General features: G+C 38.2%; 1 protein-coding gene across 17 annotated transcripts in view; it reads left to right on the forward strand.

Annotated features, from left to right (window-relative positions):
- SYT16 (synaptotagmin 16) overlaps positions 1-21397 on the forward strand; it is a 300664-nt gene that overhangs the window by 163255 nt on the left and 116012 nt on the right. For 7 of the 17 annotated variants that reach the window (NM_001367661.1, NM_001367656.1, NM_001387088.1 and 4 more), the window contains one exon: positions 20460-21126. The exons of 9 other annotated variants lie outside the window; for them this stretch is intronic. In NM_001367661.1, the coding sequence (NP_001354590.1) occupies positions 20604-21126 (523 nt within the window). In that variant the 5' untranslated portion in view covers positions 20460-20603. Of the gene's footprint in view, positions 1-20459; positions 21127-21397 lie in introns of those variants that run through there. One more of the 17 variants, NM_001387087.1, reaches the window with a different exon arrangement.

Below are 21397 nucleotides of genomic sequence, written 5' to 3' on the forward strand. Positions count from 1 at the left end.
ACTGGGTAATTTATAAATAAAAAAGGTTTAATTGACTCACGGTTCAGCATGTCTGTAGAGGTCTCAGCAAACTTAATCATGATGGATGGTGAGGGGGAGACAGGAGCCTTCTTCACAAGGCAGCTGGAAGAAGTGCCAAGTGAAGGGGGAAGAGTGCCTTATAAAACCATCAGATCTTGTGAGAACTCACTCACTATCATTAGAACAGCATGAGAGAAACCATCCCCATGGTTCAATTACCTCCACCTAGTTTCTCCCTTGACATGTGGGGATTATGGGGATCCTATTTGGTTCTTAGGGTTACCATAACAACTTCTCCTCTAGCTCTGGGGATTACAATTCAAAATGAGGTTTGGGTGGGGACACAAAGCCTAACCATATTATTCTGCTCCTGGTTCCCCCCAAATCTCATGTCTCTTTCGCATTTCAAACCAATAATGCCTTCCCAACAGTCCCCCAAAGTCTTAATTCATTTCAGCATTAATTCAAAAGTCCAAGTCCAAAGTCTTATCTGAGACAAGGCAAGTCCCTTCCACCTATGAGCCTGTAAAATCAAAAGCAAGTTGGTTACTTCTTAGATACAATGCAGGTACAGGCATTGGGTAAATACACCCATTCCAAATGGGAGAAATTGGCCAAAACAAAGGGGCTACAGGCCCCATGCAGGTCCAAAATCCAGTGGGGCAGTCAAATCTTAAAGCTCTGAAATGGTTTCCTTTGACTCCATGTCTCGCATCCAGGTCATGCTGATGCAAGAGGTGGGTTCCCATGGTCTTTGGCAGCTCCATTCCTGTGGCTCTGCAGGGTTCAGTCCCCCTCCTGGTTGCTTTCATGGGCTGGCATTGAGTGGCTGTGGCTTTTCCAGGCACATGGTGCAAGCTGTTGGTGGATCTACCATTCTTGGGTCTGGAGGATAGGGGCCCTCTCCTTACAGATTATTAAGTAGTGCCCCAGTGGGGACCCTGTGTGGGGGCTTCCATCCCACATTTCCCTTTCTCACTTCTGTAGTAGAGGTTCTCCATGAGGGCTCAGCTCCTGCAGCAAACTTCTGCCTGGACATCCACACATTTTCATACATCCTCTGAAATCTAGGCAGAGGTTCCCAAACTTCAATTCTTGACTTCTGTGCACCCACAGGCCCAACACATGTAAGCTACCAAGACTTGGGGCTTGTACTCTCTGAAGCAACACCCTGAGCTGTATGTTGGCCCCTTTTAGCCATGACTGGGATGCAGAGCACCAACTCCCGAGACTGTACAAAACAGCAAGGCCCTGGGCCTGGCCCACAAAAACATTTTGTCCTCCTAGGACTCTGAGCCTGTGATGGGAAGGGCTGCCATGAGGACCTCTGACATGCCCTGGAGACATTTTCCCCATTGTCTTGGTGATTAACATTTGGCTCCTTATTACTTATACAAATTTCTGCAGCCAGCTTGAATTTCTGCCCAGAAAATGTTTTTTTTTTTCTATTGCATAGTCAGGATGCACATTTTCCAAGCTCATGCTCTGCTTTCCTTTTAAACATAAGTTTTAAATTCAGATAATTTCTCTCAAGTTCAAAGTCCCATAGATCTCTAGGACCCTAGGGCAGGGGCAAAAGGCTGCTAGTCTCTTTGCTAAAGCATAGCAAGGGTGGCCTTTGCTCCTGTTTCCAAGAAGTTCCTCATCTCCATCTGAGACCACCTCAGCCTGGACTTCGTTGTCCACATCATTATTAGCATTTTGGTCAAAGCCATTCAACAAGTCTCTAGGAAGCTCCAAATTTTCTCACATCTTCCTGTCTTCTTCCAAACCCTCCAAACTGTTCCAATCTTTGCCTGTTACCCAGTTCCAAAGTTGCTTCCACATTTTCAAGTATCTTTATAGCAGTACCCCACTCTTGGCAGTACCAATTTACTGTATTAGTCAATTTTCATACTGCTATAAAGGACTGGCTGAAACTGAGTAATTTATAAATGAAAGAGGTTTAACTGACTCACAGTTCAGCATGGCTGGAGAGACCTCAGGAAACTTAATCATAGCAGAAGGAGATGGGGAGGCAGGCACCTTCTTTACAAGGCAGCAGGAAGAAGTGCCAAGCAAAGGGGGAATAGCTCCTTATGAAACCATCAGATCTCATGATACTCACTCACTATCATGAGAACAGCATGGGGGAAACCACCCCCATGTTTCAGTTACCTCCACCTGGTCTCTCCCTTGACACATGGGGATTACAGGGATTATGGGGATTACAATTCAAGATGAGGTTTGGGTGGGGACACAAAGTGTTACCATTATCACCCCATTTTTTTGCCCACCTAATCTTCCCAACTTAATCCACTACTTCATAGCTTTGAAGTAAACATCTGGGTTGAAAAAAATAGGAGAATGGAGGATTTGGGGGATGTATTAGTTTCCTATGGCTGCCATAACAAATAACTACAAATTTGTTGTCTTAAAACAACATAAATTATTTTTGCACAATTCTGGAGACCCATATTCTGAAATCAAGGTGTCAGCAGGGCCACGATCCCTGGAGACTCTAGGGAGAATCTGTTTCATGACTTGCTCCTTGCTCCTGGTGGCTGGCAGTCATCCTTGGCATTCTTTGTCTTGTGGCTGTATCATTCCAATCTCTGCCTCTGTCTTCACCTCACCTTCTTCTCTGTGTCATTAGTCACTGGTGGTAATCAAGGAATCTAGTCTCATCTCAAATTCTTCATTTGATTACATCTGCAATGAAAGACCCTTTTTTCAAATAATATAACATGCATAGATTCCAGGGATTAGGACATGGACATATCTCTGGGGAGCTACCATTCAGCCCACTATAGCAGGAGAAGAAGGTGGAAGCCCAACTTGGCAGTGGTTTCCAATCCTTTCAAATAAGGAGAGTTGATGAAAATTGGAGGCAAGATTCTCTTTTCTCAATTTTCCTCCAGCACTGGTATTCCACACTCCTCAACTGGGGTTATAATGATTCTTACAAAGAAAGATGTAACAAAAGCTTGTCAGACACTTATGATAGAGATTGTAATTAGCAGTCAGGGTATTTTCTAACTGTAACCTCAGTTGAACCACACAGGATCTCAATTCTGGGAAGCTTTTAAAAACTACAAGTGTGAGGCTCACTGCAAATTAATTACATCACAACAGGGAGTGGCAGGGCAAACTTACAGCTTTAAAAAGAATGCCAGGTGATTTAAAGGTGTGGCCAGGTGGAGAACCATTGATGAAAAGGGGTAGACCTATTGTTAAGTTCCCCTTTTAAGTCAGGGAGGGAAGTGCTTGACCAGAGTGTTAACACTGGACCAGTGCCCCTTTGCTGCTGCCCACACAAAGTATCCATCTGGTGGTTTCTCCACCTGGCTCCCTCCCTCACTGCTTTAGTCCACCTTGTGAGCAAACAAGGTTTTTCCTTCATGATGCTTTTCCTCCCCACTGCCCCATATATATTGGGCAGTTGACTTCTGCACAGGGAATAAAAAATAAGTTATTTACGAAAGTTGTCTATTCCATAAGATTATTCAAGATTGTCAAATTATAACCAACTTTAATTTAAATTCAAGATTTCGAGACTTTTAGAAGTTTTTGGTGAATTTGGCCAAAACAGAAGAGTCTGGCTGTCCCATCTCTGTATCTTTCAGGATCCTCTTAATGATTTGGATAACATTCTGTTTTCCTTTTATGCCCATATAAGGAAGAATAATGACAAATTTTGTAAAATGGTGTGAATCAGGATCTGAAACAGATGTAAAAATAAAAATAGATAGTATAGTAGCCTGATATAGGGATGTAGGAGTGGTCTTATTATTATTATTATTTTTGGCTCCTTGAGATGGAGAGGAACATTTAGCCATGTGCTCATCTTATAGTTGTAAATAACCATCGTCAGCTTCCTCATACTTCATATTTAGTATGATTGATGAATTAAATATAGGCAGAGAAAGACATTTTTCAGGATAATGTAAAATCAGCATAATCTATAGTCTTCTTTCCTGGGGCATTTTGTTGCCTTCTTTAGCAATGAATTTTCTTTTACCTGTACCCAGAGTCTAGGTTCCATCACCTGCAGGTCTGTGCAGTGGCTTCCTTTTAGGCATGGCCTACTCAGATGAATCTTAAGTGAATCAAATATCTTGGAATAAAAAAAGAGTACATATTCCCCTCCTTTTCTTTTTCATTAGATGATTAAAAATAAATTCTGGCCAGGCGTGGTGGCTCATGCCTGTAATCCCAGCACTTTGGGAGGCTGAGGCGGGTGGATCACGAGGTCAAGAGATCGAGATCATCCTGGCCAACATGGTGAAACCCCGTCTCTACTAAAAATACAAAAATTAGCTGGACGTGGTGGCGTGCATCTGTAGTCCCTGCTACCCAGGAGGCTGAGGCCGGAGAATCACTTGAACCCGGGAGGGAGAGGTTGCAGTGAGTCGAGATTGTGCCACTGCACTCCAGCCTGGCGACAGAGCGAGACTCTGTCTCAAAAAGAAAAAAAAAATTCCACTGGGATAGTTTTTGACGGTCTATAGAATTGCACAGTAAGTTTTAGAATTAAGTTTTCAATCCCCAATTGTTTTAGAATTAAGGATTGAATGCTCTTTAGAAAACTGATATCTTCTACATTCCCCAAGCCCTCCACTTTTATAGTTTTTTGTCCTGAAATAATAGGATACATAAAATGTCCCCTTTATACTTCTTTTGTCACCCGTCTCCACTGGGGCATATATAAAACAAAACCCAACTGGAAAGGTGGTCCCTAGTGTGGAAGCACACTTGTGAGTAATCTAAGTTGCAAGGTATTTTCTCTTCTGATTTTAATATCTTAATTTGCATAGAATATACATTTCTCTCACTATGGGTTACATTATATTGCACTATGAAATTGCTGTTTTTGTAGGTGAGAAGTTTCATATGGTTCAACCTAATATATGATATTAAACATTTGAAAATTGAGGAACTGTGAAAGTTTATTTCAACATCAGGACAAGCCTTGATATATCTCATGGCAATGCATAGTCACTGGTTTTGGTTACTTGACTAAGGCACAAATAATTGAGAATTGATATTAATCTTATATTTTGCTTTAAAAATATATAGGCTTATAATAATTCAGATGGGCCCATCACCTGTTTGGTGTGTGCAAATTCCAAAAAACTCGGCTGAGAGATTACTGGTTTGAGAATATTTATTCATCCATTCAACATTATTCGTTGTGAAGCTATGTCATGCCACACATTGTGCTAAGTGCTGGAAATAAAATGGTGAAAAAGAGAGTTGTAGTCCCTACTCTCTTAGAAATTACATGCTTTTGGTGAAGACAGGGAAAAACAAAACCAAACGTAAAGAGGCAAATAAATAAAATAATTATAGATTGTTATAAACATGGTAAGGGCTTAAAAAAAGACTAATTGACATGACAGGGAGATGTACTTTAGATAGGACTGAGACCATCTTGCTCATTGCTGGGCAGAAAAACTGAAAATTCTGTAATGGCTATAGGGAGCTCTATTAGGGAGAGTTTTTCCAGAGAAACAGTACCAACATTGTGTGTGTGTGTGTGTTTGTGTGTGTGTGTGTGGTTGTGTGTAGAGAGAGTTTAAGGAATTAGCTTACATGATCATGGAAGCTGGCAAGTGTTAAATCTGCAAGTTGAGCTGATAGACTGGAGATCCAGGGAACAGCCAATTTTGCGCTTGCAGTCTGAAGACTGTCTGCTGCACAATTCCTTCTTGTTTGTGGGAGGTCAGTTTTTGTACCATTAAGGCCTTCAGTGAACTGGATGAGGCCCACCTACATTATGGAGGGCAATCTGCTTTGCATAGAGTACACTGATTTAATTATTAATCTCATCTACAATAATATTCTCACAGAAACATCCAGACTAACATTTGACCAAATATCTGGGCACCATGGCTTAGCCACACTGATGCATAAAATTAATCATCATAGAATCTTACCTTTCATCTATCTGTATTTGTGTTTTTGTTTCCTTCAGTATATTATGGTGGGGAGGTTGGGAAAAGAAAATCTTCACTAAAAAAACTTATTATGGAAACGTTCAAACATACAAGAAAGTGGAGAGAAAATCATATAATGAACCCCATATATCTATCACACAGCTTCAACAATTATTAACAAAGACAATTCATTTCCAAATGATACTCTCTCGTCTCCATTTTCTTGTTTCCCTGGCTCAGAGAACATTCCTTTAAAATCTCCATCCTGTACTGTTTGTTTTCTTGCAACTTAGACACGGGTTATTGTCCCCTGCTTGAGAATTTGACCCAGCAAATGAACATGTTACACAGCCAGCTGATTGCTGGAGATGGAGGCATTAGGTTCGAGGTTGGGAGGGAACTAGAAGTCATTTGACAGACCTGTGCACGTTTACAGTTGGAATATGAGCAGCCCTGCTTTCTGAGTTATTTACATAAGGGTGCATGGTGAGTTTCCTTAGAAACAGATTCTTCTTGGGGCATTTGAGCTTCCTCTGTGATGCTAGGATGGTAATAAAAACAAATCTGAAGCTCTCTGTAAGTATGAATTGCTGTGGAAATGTTTAACACCTAAGTTTGAGAGCTCCCTAAACATACATCACTATTTCAAAAGCTGCAGAAGATTTCCTTCATGCTTTTTCACTTTACCAATGACTGTGTAACATATGGATATATATATATTTAACATATATAGCTCTGAGTCTTATTTTTAGTAGAAGCTCTGGAGCCATTCTATGTTTGAAATAGTCATAGCATGGAATTTTATGACTGAGAATTCTAGGCAGCCCTCAGTAAACCTTGGTAGTCCACATAGAAACACTCAGTAAATGCTTTTTGCCTGGTTGATAGTTCTTCCTTCAGTCTTGCAGCATGGGTGTATTAGTCCGTTTTCACACTGTTGATAAAGATATACCTGAGACTGGGTAATTTATAAAGAAAAAGAAGTTTAATGGACTCAGAGTTCCATGTGACTGGGGAGGCCTCACAATCATGGTGGAAGGTGAAAGGCACGTCTTACATGGCAGCAGGCAAGATAGAGAGAATGAGAGCCAAATGAAAGGGATTTCCCCTTATAAAACCATCATATCTCATGAGACTTATTCACTACCACAAGAACAGTATGGGGGAAACTGCCCCCAAGATTCAATTATCTCCCACCAGGTCCCTCCCATAACACGTGGGAATTATGGGAGCTACAGTTCAAGAAGAGATTTGGGTGGGGACATAGCCAAACCATATCAGTGGGTCTCCAGGATGATCTCAGGCAGCATGAAATGCACATCTTCTTGCTGGAGACAGTAAAACTATCTCCCCCTACTTTATGGGAAGTTTTGAAGGATTTTTGACGTAGTGGAGATAAATATGTCATTTTCAATTATAGATGAGGCAATTTTTTGTAAGTTTAAAGCTTGTGTGCTTGTCTGCACATGCTAAAAACTGGCATCATTAACAACAGCTCTTCTCTGGATGTCGTCTTCCAGAGAAATCTCTCTCCAAGATACATCCTGTCTGGAGGATACCACAGGTGGTAAAAGTTGCATTTATCAGAGGACTATTGGGGTTTTGTGCTTCTCTTGTCAGCAAGATCCTAATATTTATTACACTTTAAAGAGATATATGCCTTAAATTAAAATCAGAATTAGTTGATAGGTGGGAAGCAAGGAAAAGAAATATTTGTGTTGTTTGAACAGAATGAATTAGTAGAGGTGACTGTTTCTGCATTGAAGTGGGTGTCTACGAGTTTATATGCTTAACTAGCTATTTGAGTGATCAGTTTTAAACTAGTTTTTGGAGTAATAGGTTTAAAATTTCATTATTTTTCTTAGCCTGACAGATTAAAGTAAAAGAAAGAGCATGTCTGTGTTTATACACTTCCATTAAAAATATATGTGTTCCTCTAAAGCCTACTTAAGGAGCAAATACCTTATTCATAAAAGCTCTCATAATAATGGCAAGCTTGTGTTATTTTGGGCACTTTGAGGTTTAATGAAAAGATGACAGGTATTATTTGAAGTGTGTGAATTTAGAAATTTGAAAAACATTTTGAATCTTATTTTCTTATAGTTTTTCTACTCTGGATCTCCTAAACAGTTCTTGATACTTTTGAACAAATAATTTCAGGTTTTTTTTGTTTCTGTTTTTGTTTTTAGAGATAGGATCTTTCTATATCATCCAGGCTGGAGTGCAGTGGTGTGATCATAGCTCACTGTGATCTCAACTTATTGGGCTCAAGCAATCCTTCAGCCTCAGTTTCCTAAGTAGCTTGGACTTCAGTTGCAAGCTACCACACCAAGTTAATTTTTCTATTTTTTCTAGAGATGGGGGGTCTCACTATGTTGCCTAGGCTGGTCTCGAATTCCTGGCCTCAAGGAGTCCTCCTACGTTGGCCACTCAAAGTCCAGGGTTAACAGGTGTGAGCTACTGCTCCTGGCTTAATGTCAGCTTTATTGAATGAAATTGCTATGTGATTAAAAACTGCTTATCTTTTTTGTTTTTCCCCAGTAAGCATTGACTACAGAGTGGTAATTTATAGTTGCCACTCCACAAAAGTGCAGAACATTTGATGGGAACAGGGTGATGAAGAGAACCTACTTTTAGGGCATAAACCCTTTGAATGTTTCTTTTCAAAATTATCTTGAAGCAAAATCCAAATCATAGCATTACAAGACATTACAGAAAGTATGGTGAAGCTTTCAATATTTTACCTTGACTGTTTAACAGAAAGGTTTTTTAAAGGTTTGCATTTGATCTTCCCAAATGCCTCCACCCCTTCTGCCCCTAAACAATTAATGCCTATTAAAGCTATACTCAGTGCTTCTTTAGTCTATGTTGGAAAGATGTCAGAGTCCTTTTAAATTTTTATTTTTCCTATTGTTTGTTTTTGTGGTTGAAGACCTAACTGGTATTAATTTTAATAACATTTTAGGGCAAGAATTCCATTTAGAATTTCTCCAAAGAAGCTGAAATGAATCAAATGTGTATTTTATGTGGGACTGTGCTTAGAAATAGAAGCCAATGTGAAATGTCATTTTCCTATCACTTGGAAGATTTTCCTTTCCATTAGCTGCTCTATTGCAGGACTCATATTTATATTAAAATTCTTTTTGGAATGAAATTTTAGTATTTTGCTATCAGAAAGTAGAATCTTATTCATTATGGGTGATGGTAGTAAATTTTAGTTGAATATAAACTGAGCTATGCTAACAGAAGACTGCAAGGTATTTGCTGTTCCTCAGTAAGTAAGATTCCATGTCTTTTAGTGAGAAATTGGAAGGATTCAAGGAGAAAGAGAAGGAAAAAGCAACAGACAGGCATTGTTGGCTTAAAATAGAAATATAACTAGCATTTTGGTTTAACTGAATAGATACAATCTGTATAACTATATATAATGCTATAAAATAGGTCACACATGTATGTAGAATTAGTTAAGAACATTTGGCTCCACTATCATGCCTAGAAAACAGTGCTTCCCAGTTCTTATGTGAAATTCCCTGCCAGTAGAAAGGGAAATGTAAAAGGAGTGTTTTCAAATATTCTTTGATTGGGGTCACTTTGGCTCGGTAGACCTGAGAGACATCATGTACCACTCATGTAACCTACTTATGTTTGCAACCACAAAGATCCCATTAAGGCTGCTGTTTTTGATGGGATCCCAAGAGGATCTGATTATTAATGTTTGCCAGACACAGAAGCATTGAGAATGTCATATTATTAGCATTACTATTCTAACAGCCCAGTCATCAAGGACCCTAGGAGACCTCATTTTGATAACCACTAATGAAGAAGATAAAATGTGTAGCAATAGTCACTTCAGTAATGAACAATTTTACTACCTGTTTAGTTTGAAGCTTGTGTAAACAAATGAGGAGAGAATATAAGGAAAATATCAAACAGTTGTTAGCACTGATTTAGATAGAGACTTTCAATTTATGAATGCTGATGTGTTCATTCACAGGAGGGGGCCAGTATAAATAAGAATGTGAGTCTGTGCCCTAGGATTTAGAAGAAACATTTGCAATGAATTAGTAATTTGTGGTGGAATGGTTTTCTGCCTATCAATAAAACTTTCATCAGATGAAAGATTTATATTTTCCTCATCCCAGAGTGGGGACCAGATTAAAACCTGTTGTGTAATTGTTGGTTGTAGGGTATCTTTCAGAGACAGACCAATTTCAGCAGTCTGCGCTCTTCATAGAAGTGAAACTGGGAAATAGAGATCCTTTTAAGACTCTGAAAAAGGTATGAAGATGATCTCCTGGAAAAACCTCATTCATTTGACATTTTGCAAATAGTTTAAAATTTATAAAAACTATCCCTAGATTTTTTAGGAGGTTGACCTCCTGATTAAGCAGATCTAATTTATGGAGGCCAGTCTCAATTGAGTTCAAATTTATTTGATATAAATATTTCTTGAGTGACTTCTATGTGCTAGATATGGCTGCTAGATGCTACAATTTGTGATATGTCTATATCATAGTTATGTTTGAAACAAAATGAATTATATGTGTATTGGCTACCAACAGTAGTAACAAGTCCAATGGAGGTGGCTAAGGGGAGCTCCCCAAGATCCTGCTTTAGAATGTTATCTTCAGAGAACACTGACAACTTACCAAGTGTAATTCTATCATTTGCAGGTGAAAAAATGGAAGTCCAGGATATTAAACATATTTTTTGAGTTCATAAATAGTACAGCGGTGGAACTGGCTCATGGTGCCTGATACCTATTTTAGTGTCATTCCACTGTCTCTCCTAATCTCTTAATGAAAAAAAAATAAAAGTAATTATAAGGTAAACAGACCCCTGATTATTATTGTTATTTATTAAGTTGTTTAACCAGCTAAACAACTTTTTTTAATATAGAAAATACAGAAGTAAGCTTTAGCGTAGCTCCTATCAAAAGACTAATAAATGCCAAATTTATGATGTCTGAATTAATACAATTTATAGACATTCTCATTCTGATGGAGAATACTGGATATTTTGTCTTGAAATGTAAAGGATTGAATATTATTATTAGAACAGGTACTTTTTTATTTTTTATTTAAAAAATTTATATATATATATATTTTTATTATACTTTAAGTTCTAGGGTACATGTGCACAACATGCAGGTTTGTTACATATGTATACATGTGCCATGTTGGTGTGCTGCACCCATTAACTCGTCATTTACATTAGGTATATCTCCTAATGGTATTCCTGCCTCCTCCCCCCACCCCACAACAGGCCCCGGTGTGTGATGTTCCCCTTCTTGTGTCCAAGTGTTCTCATTAGAACAGATACTTTCATAGATTTGAATGTGGGAAAAGTTATTGAGGCCCTAATTGAAAATCTAGTTTTTAAAATATTAAATCATTTAAAATGATAAACATAAAAGACTGTAGAAACATGCAAAATGTGTTAAAATGTTAACTGAAAGAAGCAGTATGTAATATTTGTGTATGTGTATATATGTGGAGCTGTGTATTCAAATATTCAAAAATATTGATGGCCTATTCTATGGTAGTCAGTTACTCTGCTTGGTGCTGACAACATGGCAAAGACAACAATTAACCTACTCTGTGATCTCATAGAAAGTCTTGTTTAGTGAGACAGATGGGTATTAAAAGAAATAATGTTATAGGTCATCAATAAGCTACAATTATAGTAAGTGTTAATAAGAAATAAGGGGTGTTATGGGAGAATATTTCAGCGACATCATTTAGTGTGGATTATGGCGGGGGGAAAACATTCTGAAAAGTGAAGTGTAACCTGGGACCTGAAAGGAGATGGATGGGCACTGTCAGGGTCAGGGAGCCTGAAGGGAGAAGAGCTTTCTTAGCCTGTGAGAGGAGCCTGAGCAACTAAAAGGAGGAGGTGAGATGCCCCAGCCTGGAGAGCAAATAGCACTTAAAGACAAGATGGAACCAACCAGGGATGGCCTTCTGAGTCTTGTGAATTTTGAACTTTGCCATAAGTGCAATGGGAAGCCATTTTAAACACTGAATGACGTGATCAAATATGCACCTTAGAAAGATCATGAAGTTCATTTTGTGGAAATGAGGTAGGAGTGAATGCAGTGGGGTCATTTAAGAGACTGTTGAAGTGGTTCAGTTAGGAAATAATGGTGACTTGGACTCAAGTATTACCTGTTTAGGTGGCAGAAGGCCATAGAGTTTAGAGTTATTTAGATGAAAGAATGGGTAGGCCTTGGTAAGCAATTCTAAAGGAGAAAGAGTTGTCAAAGGTAATTATTAGTTTCCTATATAACCCGATGATAACTGTGCAAATTACAAGGAAAACGATAGAAGAAATGTGCAAAAATAATTGGAGTTGTGTTATGGTGGAGGGATTAGGAATGATTTTTTTCCTTTTTTTTTTTTTTACCACATTTTTATAAGGCTGATATTACTTTTATAATTAGTATAAAAAACTTTAACAAACACTGAATGATTGCTGATATTTAGAATATTTTAAAATCTATCTCAAGAGGGTTACAGTGACCTTAGTTCCATCATTTTTGGCCTACTTTTGAGCCTAGTGCCTTTTCAAGTGATACAAATGATGTTTCCATCTGTGCTTTGGGGACAAAAATCAGTAATCTGCTGTATCTTATAGTCTGGATGTAATTCCTATTGTGTCTGCATTTTGCCTTCTTCAATTTTATTACATTTCCTCCTAATTATATTGCTTCATACTGTGGATGTTATTTGAGATTTCAGAATCTCCTCTACTGGGGGCCAGTAGATGTGCGCCCATGGCCCTGGAGCACAGATGCCCTTTTGGAAAAGGTCTGTAGTGATTGCTTTAGATTGGATGACAATAAGATTCTTCCTCATTTTGGTTGGGGTTTTAAAAAGGCAAGTATAGTCTAATAGAATTCATTCTTTTTTCATAAAAATTTTATTATGTGTGTATCTGAAAATGGATTTCTGTGCGAGAGCAGTGATAGTCTCTTTAAAAATATTGTGTCATTAAAGCCATGTTAAATAGTCCCCCTGGAGATGCTGAAGACCTTATGTGTTTATATAACCACTGAGTATTTGCGGAACATGTTTAAATCTCTGCCTTGGATAGAATAAATACTCACAAATACTCAATGGGCTTATGAAATTTAAGGAATACTTACAATGTGCTGTTGCTATAATGTTATAAACCTTGAGCAATGTACAACTTTTATTGAGCCAGTCCTAGTTTGTTTGAGATCATCATGCTCCAGAGCTATTTGTTGGGTAGAGTTTAAAAATATATTTAAATATAACCCTCACTTGACTTAAGCAGAAGTTTATAATTTTTTTAAACTTTATTACACTTATTTTCAAAAGTAACTGTGACATTTTACATTTTTTGAAGAGTTCCATTAGTGAAACAGGCAACTGTGTTGTACTAGAAACAGTGAGAATAAACTTCAGAGCCAGACAAAACTGGATTTGAACCCCACACTTGTCACTTACTAGGAAAATCACTTTACCTTTTTTTATTTCTAGTTTCTTCACTATCTAATCGCATTTTTTTTTTAAAGATTTGGAGTAATGGTTAAAGTAAGAATTTGGAATTCAACAAAGGATTCCGTTCCTTTGTTGAAATACCAGATCCACCTGTATTACACATATAAACCTGGGGCAAGTCACCTACCCTTTCTGAGCCTCAGTTTTTTTCAACTGTAAAATGGGAAGGCCAATATCTTCCACAAAAGTTTTTATTCATATAAGTTGTCAAAAAGCATTATATACTATATAGTGTTTGGAAAATGCTTGATATAATGATAGTACCATTTTTTCCGTGGTATTAGCTCATTAGGGAAAGATGATAGGAGTTTAATGTATTTTTACCTTTTGAAATATGATGAATTTGGGATTAATATTGAATACCTGATGTTGAGTGCCTGTTAATACTGGGCTCTGTTATAGCTGCTTTAAAAACATTGTCTGTGTAATCCCAGCACTTGGGAGGTTGAGGCGGGTGGATAAACTGAGGTCAGGAGTTTGAGACCAGCCTGGCCAACATGGCGAAACCCCGTTTCTACTAAAAGTACAAAAATTAGCCAGGCCTGATGGCAGAAGCCTGTAATCCCAGCTACTTGGGAGGCTGAGGCAGGAGAATCGCTCGAACCTGGAAGGTGGTTGTTGCAGTGAGCCGAGATCATGCCACTGCACTCCAGCCTGGGCAACAGAGCAAGACTCCACCTCAAAAACAAAACAAAAACAACAACAACAAAAAATTGTCTAATTTGATTTCCATGGTGAGTTGCAAGAGTAGTGATTTTCCTGAGATCTTACTAGGATCTCATTCTCCTAGATGAGAACATTTAGATGCACTCAGCTAGTATGATTTGCCTTGTGCCATGGAGTAAGTGAGAAGCAGATCCAAGACAGCCTTGTTTTGTATGATTCTAAAGCTATTAATATTTCTTTCCTTTGTATTGTCTCATTTTTCTGTGTCTAATGATGAAAGCATATTTTGATTATAGGGCAGCTTCACATTTCATTTTATATTAACTGCCTCCCTGAAGTCCAGTGTAAAAAGGCCTGTTGGATTGCTCATGCCCCGGCAGTGACAATATGGCTGTACTGTATCCGTATTTTTGCCAGAAAGAGTCCTGAGTAGTCCCTTTTTATATTTGTTGAGATGCCAACGTTTAGAACACATTTTGGACAAATGCTGTAGAAGATATTTCATTTCAATGACACATATTCCAACCCACATAAGAAATTTGCTCTTAACGGAAAACACCTGTAGACTCCTTTGAATCATGTTAAAGATGAGTTGCAGCCTATTTTATAGTTCTTATTTTGACTCCATGCATTATTCATCTTCCTAAGCTTTCTTATTTATACCAGGTCTATGCAAAATGTCTTTCTCCAAAAGGCATGATAATTGTCATAAAAATAATTAGCTTTATGACTACTCTAGTAAGTCAATAAGAAATAACCAACGTTTTATAGGTGACACAAGAAAGTTAACTGAAAGCTATGAGAAGACACTTGAAATAAACCCATGGTTCTTGACTTTTGCTTGTGACTAACCTATGAGTCTTGGTGAAGAATGAGAAGAGTATATTTTTCCAAGTGATTTCTCCTTCAAGAAATGATGAACATCAGCACACTTTAGTAGATGAACTTGTATACAATTTTGATTTGATGTTTGGTTACCTGGGGACCATATTATTGGAAACATGTTCTTGTCTTTCAGAATGTGTCTGACTTTCTCCAGGAGTTAGTTGATAATCCTTTGAAAATCACACAGGCATACAGGCTTCTGCTTTAGCTTTCACCAAAATAACAGATTTTTAAAGCACAGCTTCTAGAATCTGGTATTTCTTCTTAGGTCGTAACTGTCCCCCAACCCTGCAAGCAACCCCATCAGATAGAAAATGGGGTTGGAAAGATTTAACTAACAACCCTTAAAGGACTATGAGCATTGTTATTCTGGGATGGAATACCTCTTCTCTGTTCACAGTTAGCTTTGGTGAGAACAATCAAAATATTTGATAAAACATATGGCTCAGGAATTTGACAGTTTTTCTTTCTACAGAAACACAACTCTTTAATATTTACTGCTTAGTCATTTCCTATGTACAAAATGATCTTAATTAAAATAGAATTCCAATTAAACCAAGATTTTAAAAAAGTAGCCTTTAAGAATATATTTATTTATGGCTTTTTAAAATCTTTATCAATTGCTACTAATTCTTTCTTAGATTGTCAGTTTATTCTGAGTACTTCAATACTTTGTAAATCTTCCCAGGTCATGTTTGTGATAGAAGCTTGTATGGTAAACACACACACACACATACACACACACCATCTTTTTTTGTTGTCTCATTTTATACTTCCATAGTGATGAGATATCATGAACCATTTCAATTGTAATAATGGGCCTTCTCAGATATGACAAGACCTTAAATGTATTTTTCCTTCTAATCCAGGGAACTGGACTTTTTTTCTGTTTTTCATTTGTGTGTGTGTGTGTGTGTGTGTGTGTGTGTGTTTTCTAAAACACCAGAAGCTACTTTGTCTTCTTGTTAGCTGTAAGAAAGCCACCAAAGAAGTAGGATACAGTATATATCTGGCATTATTATCCTTGGTGTGCTCTACCAATCAAGTTGAAATTTACCTAAGCCCCAAAGATATCTCCATGGTTACCCTGCCAGTGCTGGGCCTCTTTGGCTTTAGGCTGATTTAGCATAAAATGAAAGATCTCTGGCGTTGCTAACTAGGTAGTTTTTCAGATTCTAGCTGTAGGTTTCATTTCTTTTTGAGTATTTTAGAATATAGCAACTGGACACTCTTTTATATAAAGACTGAGATTTGGCTTCTTTCCAATTATTCTGGGATCATCTCACAATGGTTATTGACAAAAAAGTACAGAACTATTCCATGAAAAGGCATCTTGCTTCTGGTTGTATCCGTCCTCAATATTACAATGTTCTGTGGCACACAATGGCAAATTCTTGGATTTAAGAGCAGAAAGGGTGTTAAAAGTCATCTAGTGCGTTAATGCCACTTTAGAGATGAATAAATAGAAAGGAATCAGGTTTACTTAGCTTTAAATGTTTTCACTAATAACTTTGTTCGTTCATTCATTCATTCATTCATTCATTCATTCATTCATTCATGGAACATGGAGAGCCCCTGCCCTGTGTGGATTCTGGAGCTACAAAGTATAAGCACAGCCCTAGCACTTGTGGACTCCCAGTCCATTGGAAGAGGAAGACTGACAAATATCCATTATACCGAGGGAAACGTTATATCATAAAGGCACATTCAAAACACTCTGAGGCCACACCTTTGATTGTAGATGAAGAGTTGACAGAGGAAGCAATAAACATTTCCTCATAAAAAATGAGTATCGGGCAGTTTAGGGAGAGAAGTCATCCTGGGCAAAACAAACAGAAGTCAGGAAAGAGCACAGTCACTTTGGAAAATGCTTAGTGTGTCAGTGAGACTGGCACATAGGACTTTACAGCGAGGAGTGGTAAGGAAAGGCTGAGTTCTCATGGCGCGGCAGCATTATTGCGGACAGCTCAGACAGCTAGGTATTCAGTGAGGACAAAAGGCGGGAGCTCCGTGAGTTGCTGTTGTCCTGAAATTAGTTCCAAGCTGGTTGATAAATAGCCACCGATCTGAAGCCCCTTCCAGTGTCCTTTTGTACCTCTAGACCTCCTCAGACCCAGTGATACAGCAATTAAAGTGTTTACACTTTGCAGGAAGCCTTTAGGATCCCCCCAGCACTAAGCCCAGTTGGATGGTGCTGATAATTATTATTATTGTTTTTTTGAGCACTTCTCCTCTTGTATGCCACAGTACAGAATTTGAACTTTATCCTATAGGGTGGGGCTTGGAAATTCAAATGCATCCAGGGGTCGGGCAGGCTACATAGAAATGAGTGAAGCGAGTGGATTGTAAACAACAGGGAGAGGTGAAGATTATATAGAGTTGGAAACATTCAAATTAATTTTTAAAAAACGCTATATCAACAAACATAAATGAGTAGTGATTTTGACAGCACCAGTGCTCAAACTTTGCAGTTTAAGTAACAGGGAATCATAATGGCTTTTTTTCTTTAAAACTAGGAGAATGATCAAAATTCATTTTTTACAAAATTTGCCATTTTGATGAACTGTCAATTTTTGTAAAAAATGAATTTTTTCATTTTCGTTTTGATGAACAGAGATTATAGAAACCAAGGGGATATGAGGCCAAGAATATGAGCTGTACTAATTTGAAGATTTGGACAAGAAGATGCTGGCTCAAATTCAGAGATTTTGGGTTGCATATGAAAACAAAGTTTTCTACCAAACATCACATATGCTCACTCAAAAGTGGGAGTTGAACAGTGAGAACACATGGACACAGGAAGGGGAACATCACACACCGGGGCCTGTGGGGGTGTGGGGGGCAAGGGGAGGGAGAGCATTAGGACAAATACCTAATGCATGTGGGGCTTAAAACCTAGATCCAGATTGATGGGTGCAGCAAATCACCATGGCACATGTATACCTATGTAACAAACCTGCACGTCTGCACATGTATCCCAGAACTGAAATAAAAAAAATTAAAAAATTCAGAACAACAACAACAAAAAACTCAAAGTTTTTTTGTGTGTAATAGAATGATGGAAGAATTATTAAGGAAAACATGTCATTTCTGGCTTAAAAAGTTTAAGGTACCAAAAAGATGGCCGTGGGAGCTAAAGCCACTGGAATCTCAGAGAGAACCTTGTAAATCTGTGACGCACTGAAGCTTAGTAACTTACACAAAATATTTGCAGAGAAAAAAAAAACCCGAAAAACTTTGAGTGGCGAAATGGGATGTAACAAATGGCAAAAGGATCTTTACTGTTGTTACTATGCAGGGAACTTATGTGATAACATTGTTTAACATCTTTTTAACAGTTCTGGATAGAATTTATCCATCAACTTAACCAATTTACTGAGTACATAATATATGCTAGGTGTTGTTTTTTGCATGATTTTTAATAGGATTTGTTATTGAGAATTCACTATGTGCTCAGCACACTTCTAGGCAATGGGGATAAAATAGAGAACTAAACAGACAATCCCTGCCATCCAGGGAGCCTCCATTCTAGAGCAGGAGACAGGTGTAAACCTCATATAAAATCAGGTTATGGTGAGCAAACAGAATGAATTGAGTCTGGGTAAGAAGAGCATATGAAGCGAACTAGGTATGTAGTATGTGAGGGAACTAGGGTGTGGGGAATGAGATAACTGTACAAAATATGATGAAAGAGAATCTTTGGAGACCAAAAGCTAACGGAGTTTGGAATGGAAGAAGGTAGTGTTGAAGAGAGAAATTCACAATCCCCCATGTTGTGAGTCTAGAGTGATGAACGCTTGTAGCAAAGTGATACACTAGGTTTGGATGAGCTGAATTTGAGATTTTAGTGAGACATCCAAGTCTATCAGTATTTCTCAAACTTCCGTGGGTGTCAGACTCACCTGGAGTACTTGCCAAAAATCCCAAGGTTCAGACTAGGCCCTTTTCCTTCAACCAGCCTGGGCCTTTGTGTTCTTTATTAGCTCACTAGGTGTTTCTGACACACCAGAGTTTGAGAATCATTGGCTTTGACAGCCACAGATACAAGCCTGGAAAGAAAAATTGAGCAAAGGCTGGAGATGTATATTTTGGAGTTTCAAAAAGGTGTTAATTGAAATGTAGGGATGGGCCTACTCTTGCAGCTGGTGAATATAACAGGGAAGGGAAGCCATAGGACAAGTTTTGGTTGTATACATGTAGGTGGTGGGAAGACAAGGAGGAGCCTGAAAGAGCGACACATGAATTATTCAGCATAGGGGGGAAATGTGGAGAACTCAGTTCCCCTGTAACTGAAATGTGGGCTGTATGGAGGCAAAGCCCTCAGGATTACCTTATCCCTGGCATTGTGCCAGCATTTAATAGATAATCAATATTTGTTTATTGAATAAGTCAATGCATCCATGAATGGCTAATAAAAAATTTTTAGAATGTAAGTAGTCATATCACATGCAGTGGCTGAGGTCAAGAGACTAAGGGATAGCTAGTAGATTTAGTTAAAAGGAAGTTATTGCTATACAAGATATTGGGTAATTAAGTTTAAGCAGTGTGTTAGGCCCTCTAGTCATTTGTAACGTTCATCTTGAGCTGTTGATGAACACTGTAATAGCAATAAGATATATACACACATAATATACACACATATGTGTATGTATACATTGTATGCACATATACATGTAAAAGTATAAATATTTAGCTCTGGGGTCTTCATAGTGTCCTGTGGTTCTGTTGATATCCTGGAGCTGCTTCCTTCAGGCTGTAAATCTTGTGGGATGAAGTGTGATTTAGGAGTCTGAAAGATTGTGGAGAGCTATCTATCTTCGGGAGGTTGGAACATAGACAAAAGCAATGAGATTCCAGGGACATGTCTTCAGTAAGCTAGATAATCCATTTGCCACCCTCAGTTTTTCAGCGATTGCTCCCCAAGAATAGATATGATTTCTAGAGATTGCATAAAAATATAAAATCCTATTTTAAGATTTGTTTAAAGCTTTTTAATTCCAGACACATACTTCCTTTGCAAGTATAAACTTTAGTGTCATAAAGCAGAGATGCTTATTAGTCAGCTCTTTGGGATCTGCAGGTTTGTAGATGAAACATCTGACCTTTTTTGCGTTTTGAAATGTCATGCCCAATTGGATCTTAATGAAGATTCATTTATCCTTTTCACACTGTTAAGGATGGTCTATGGGGATAGACTTCTCTCAGTCCACGTGAACAGAACCCATTACTGCTAATGGAAGTTTTCCACATGGCTATGGAGGTGAATAGGCATTGAAATAATCTACATCTAGACTTTCACAGTCATTTTTATGTAACTATTTTAAGATTTTCCTGATGATCCCTTTTTGTGCCCAAATGCTGTTTGACATCGTCTGTAGGTATCTGGTGATGGGTCTGAGGTTGTAACTTTAACAGGTGTAAGTATTTCTTTCCTCTGTTTCAGCTGGAAGTTTTGAGAGTGAAATATTCACAGCCATTAAGAGACCTCCAAATTAATTTCTCAACATGCTTATTCTATAGTTCACATTCAATCCAGAGCACTGAAGGAACTGAACAACTGGACACTGTAGACATCAGATAGCTGGCCATGGTGTTGGCCATGGCGTCTCAGGATGTTCAGAACTTCTTCCAGCCTTTCTCTTCCTGGATATCTCGGGTTTATGAAGCTCTCCAGCAAGCAGGAGATATGTTATCTGCTTCGCTGGTTAACATAAGCAAACAAGACTCTAAATTGAGTGACAAACTAGATCAGGACTTAGATAATATTCAGATTCAGGAAACGTACTTTGAAGATGAAGAACAAGACAATGATTGGAGTCAAGAGGATGCAAATTCCTTGTTTCTTGAAGTGGATCATTTCTCATGTTGTAATAGTGATTTGCAGGACTCTGCCCAAAATTCAAGCCCAAGCCTTAGCCAACATGCAAAGGACTCATGTTCCACAATGTCCCAGTGGCCCAATTGGGCCAGTGATGACCGCAAGTTACCACATGTGCTTTCTTCTATTGCGGAGGAAGAGCATCACCTTGAAAAGCAAAGAAGTGGCCTTCAACATGGCTTTGACAGCCAGCTCCCTGGTACTTTAGAAACTGTTAATGGAAAAAAGCAAGGTAAGCTAGCCAGTCATCATTTTCTCTGCGTTCCTCCAAAGAGCATTTCTACTTATTTTATTTTGACTTGTTTTTAGTTATCATGTGGATTTTATTTTTCTCTCTCTTATACCTTCCCACATACTGGCTTCTGATTGAGAGATATAATCCTTAGGAATATTTTCAATATATAAAGCTTTGGAGGATCCACGTTTGGGAGTTCCATATTTCAAAACAATAGTTCTGAGCAAGTGAAATGGTGAAAAACGAGTCTGTGGATTCTGTTTGAGAA

The sequence above is a fragment of the Homo sapiens genome, chromosome 14 (genome assembly GCF_000001405.40).
Source record: "Homo sapiens chromosome 14, GRCh38.p14 Primary Assembly".
In the NCBI taxonomy this organism is placed as follows: Eukaryota; Metazoa; Chordata; class Mammalia; order Primates; family Hominidae; genus Homo; species Homo sapiens.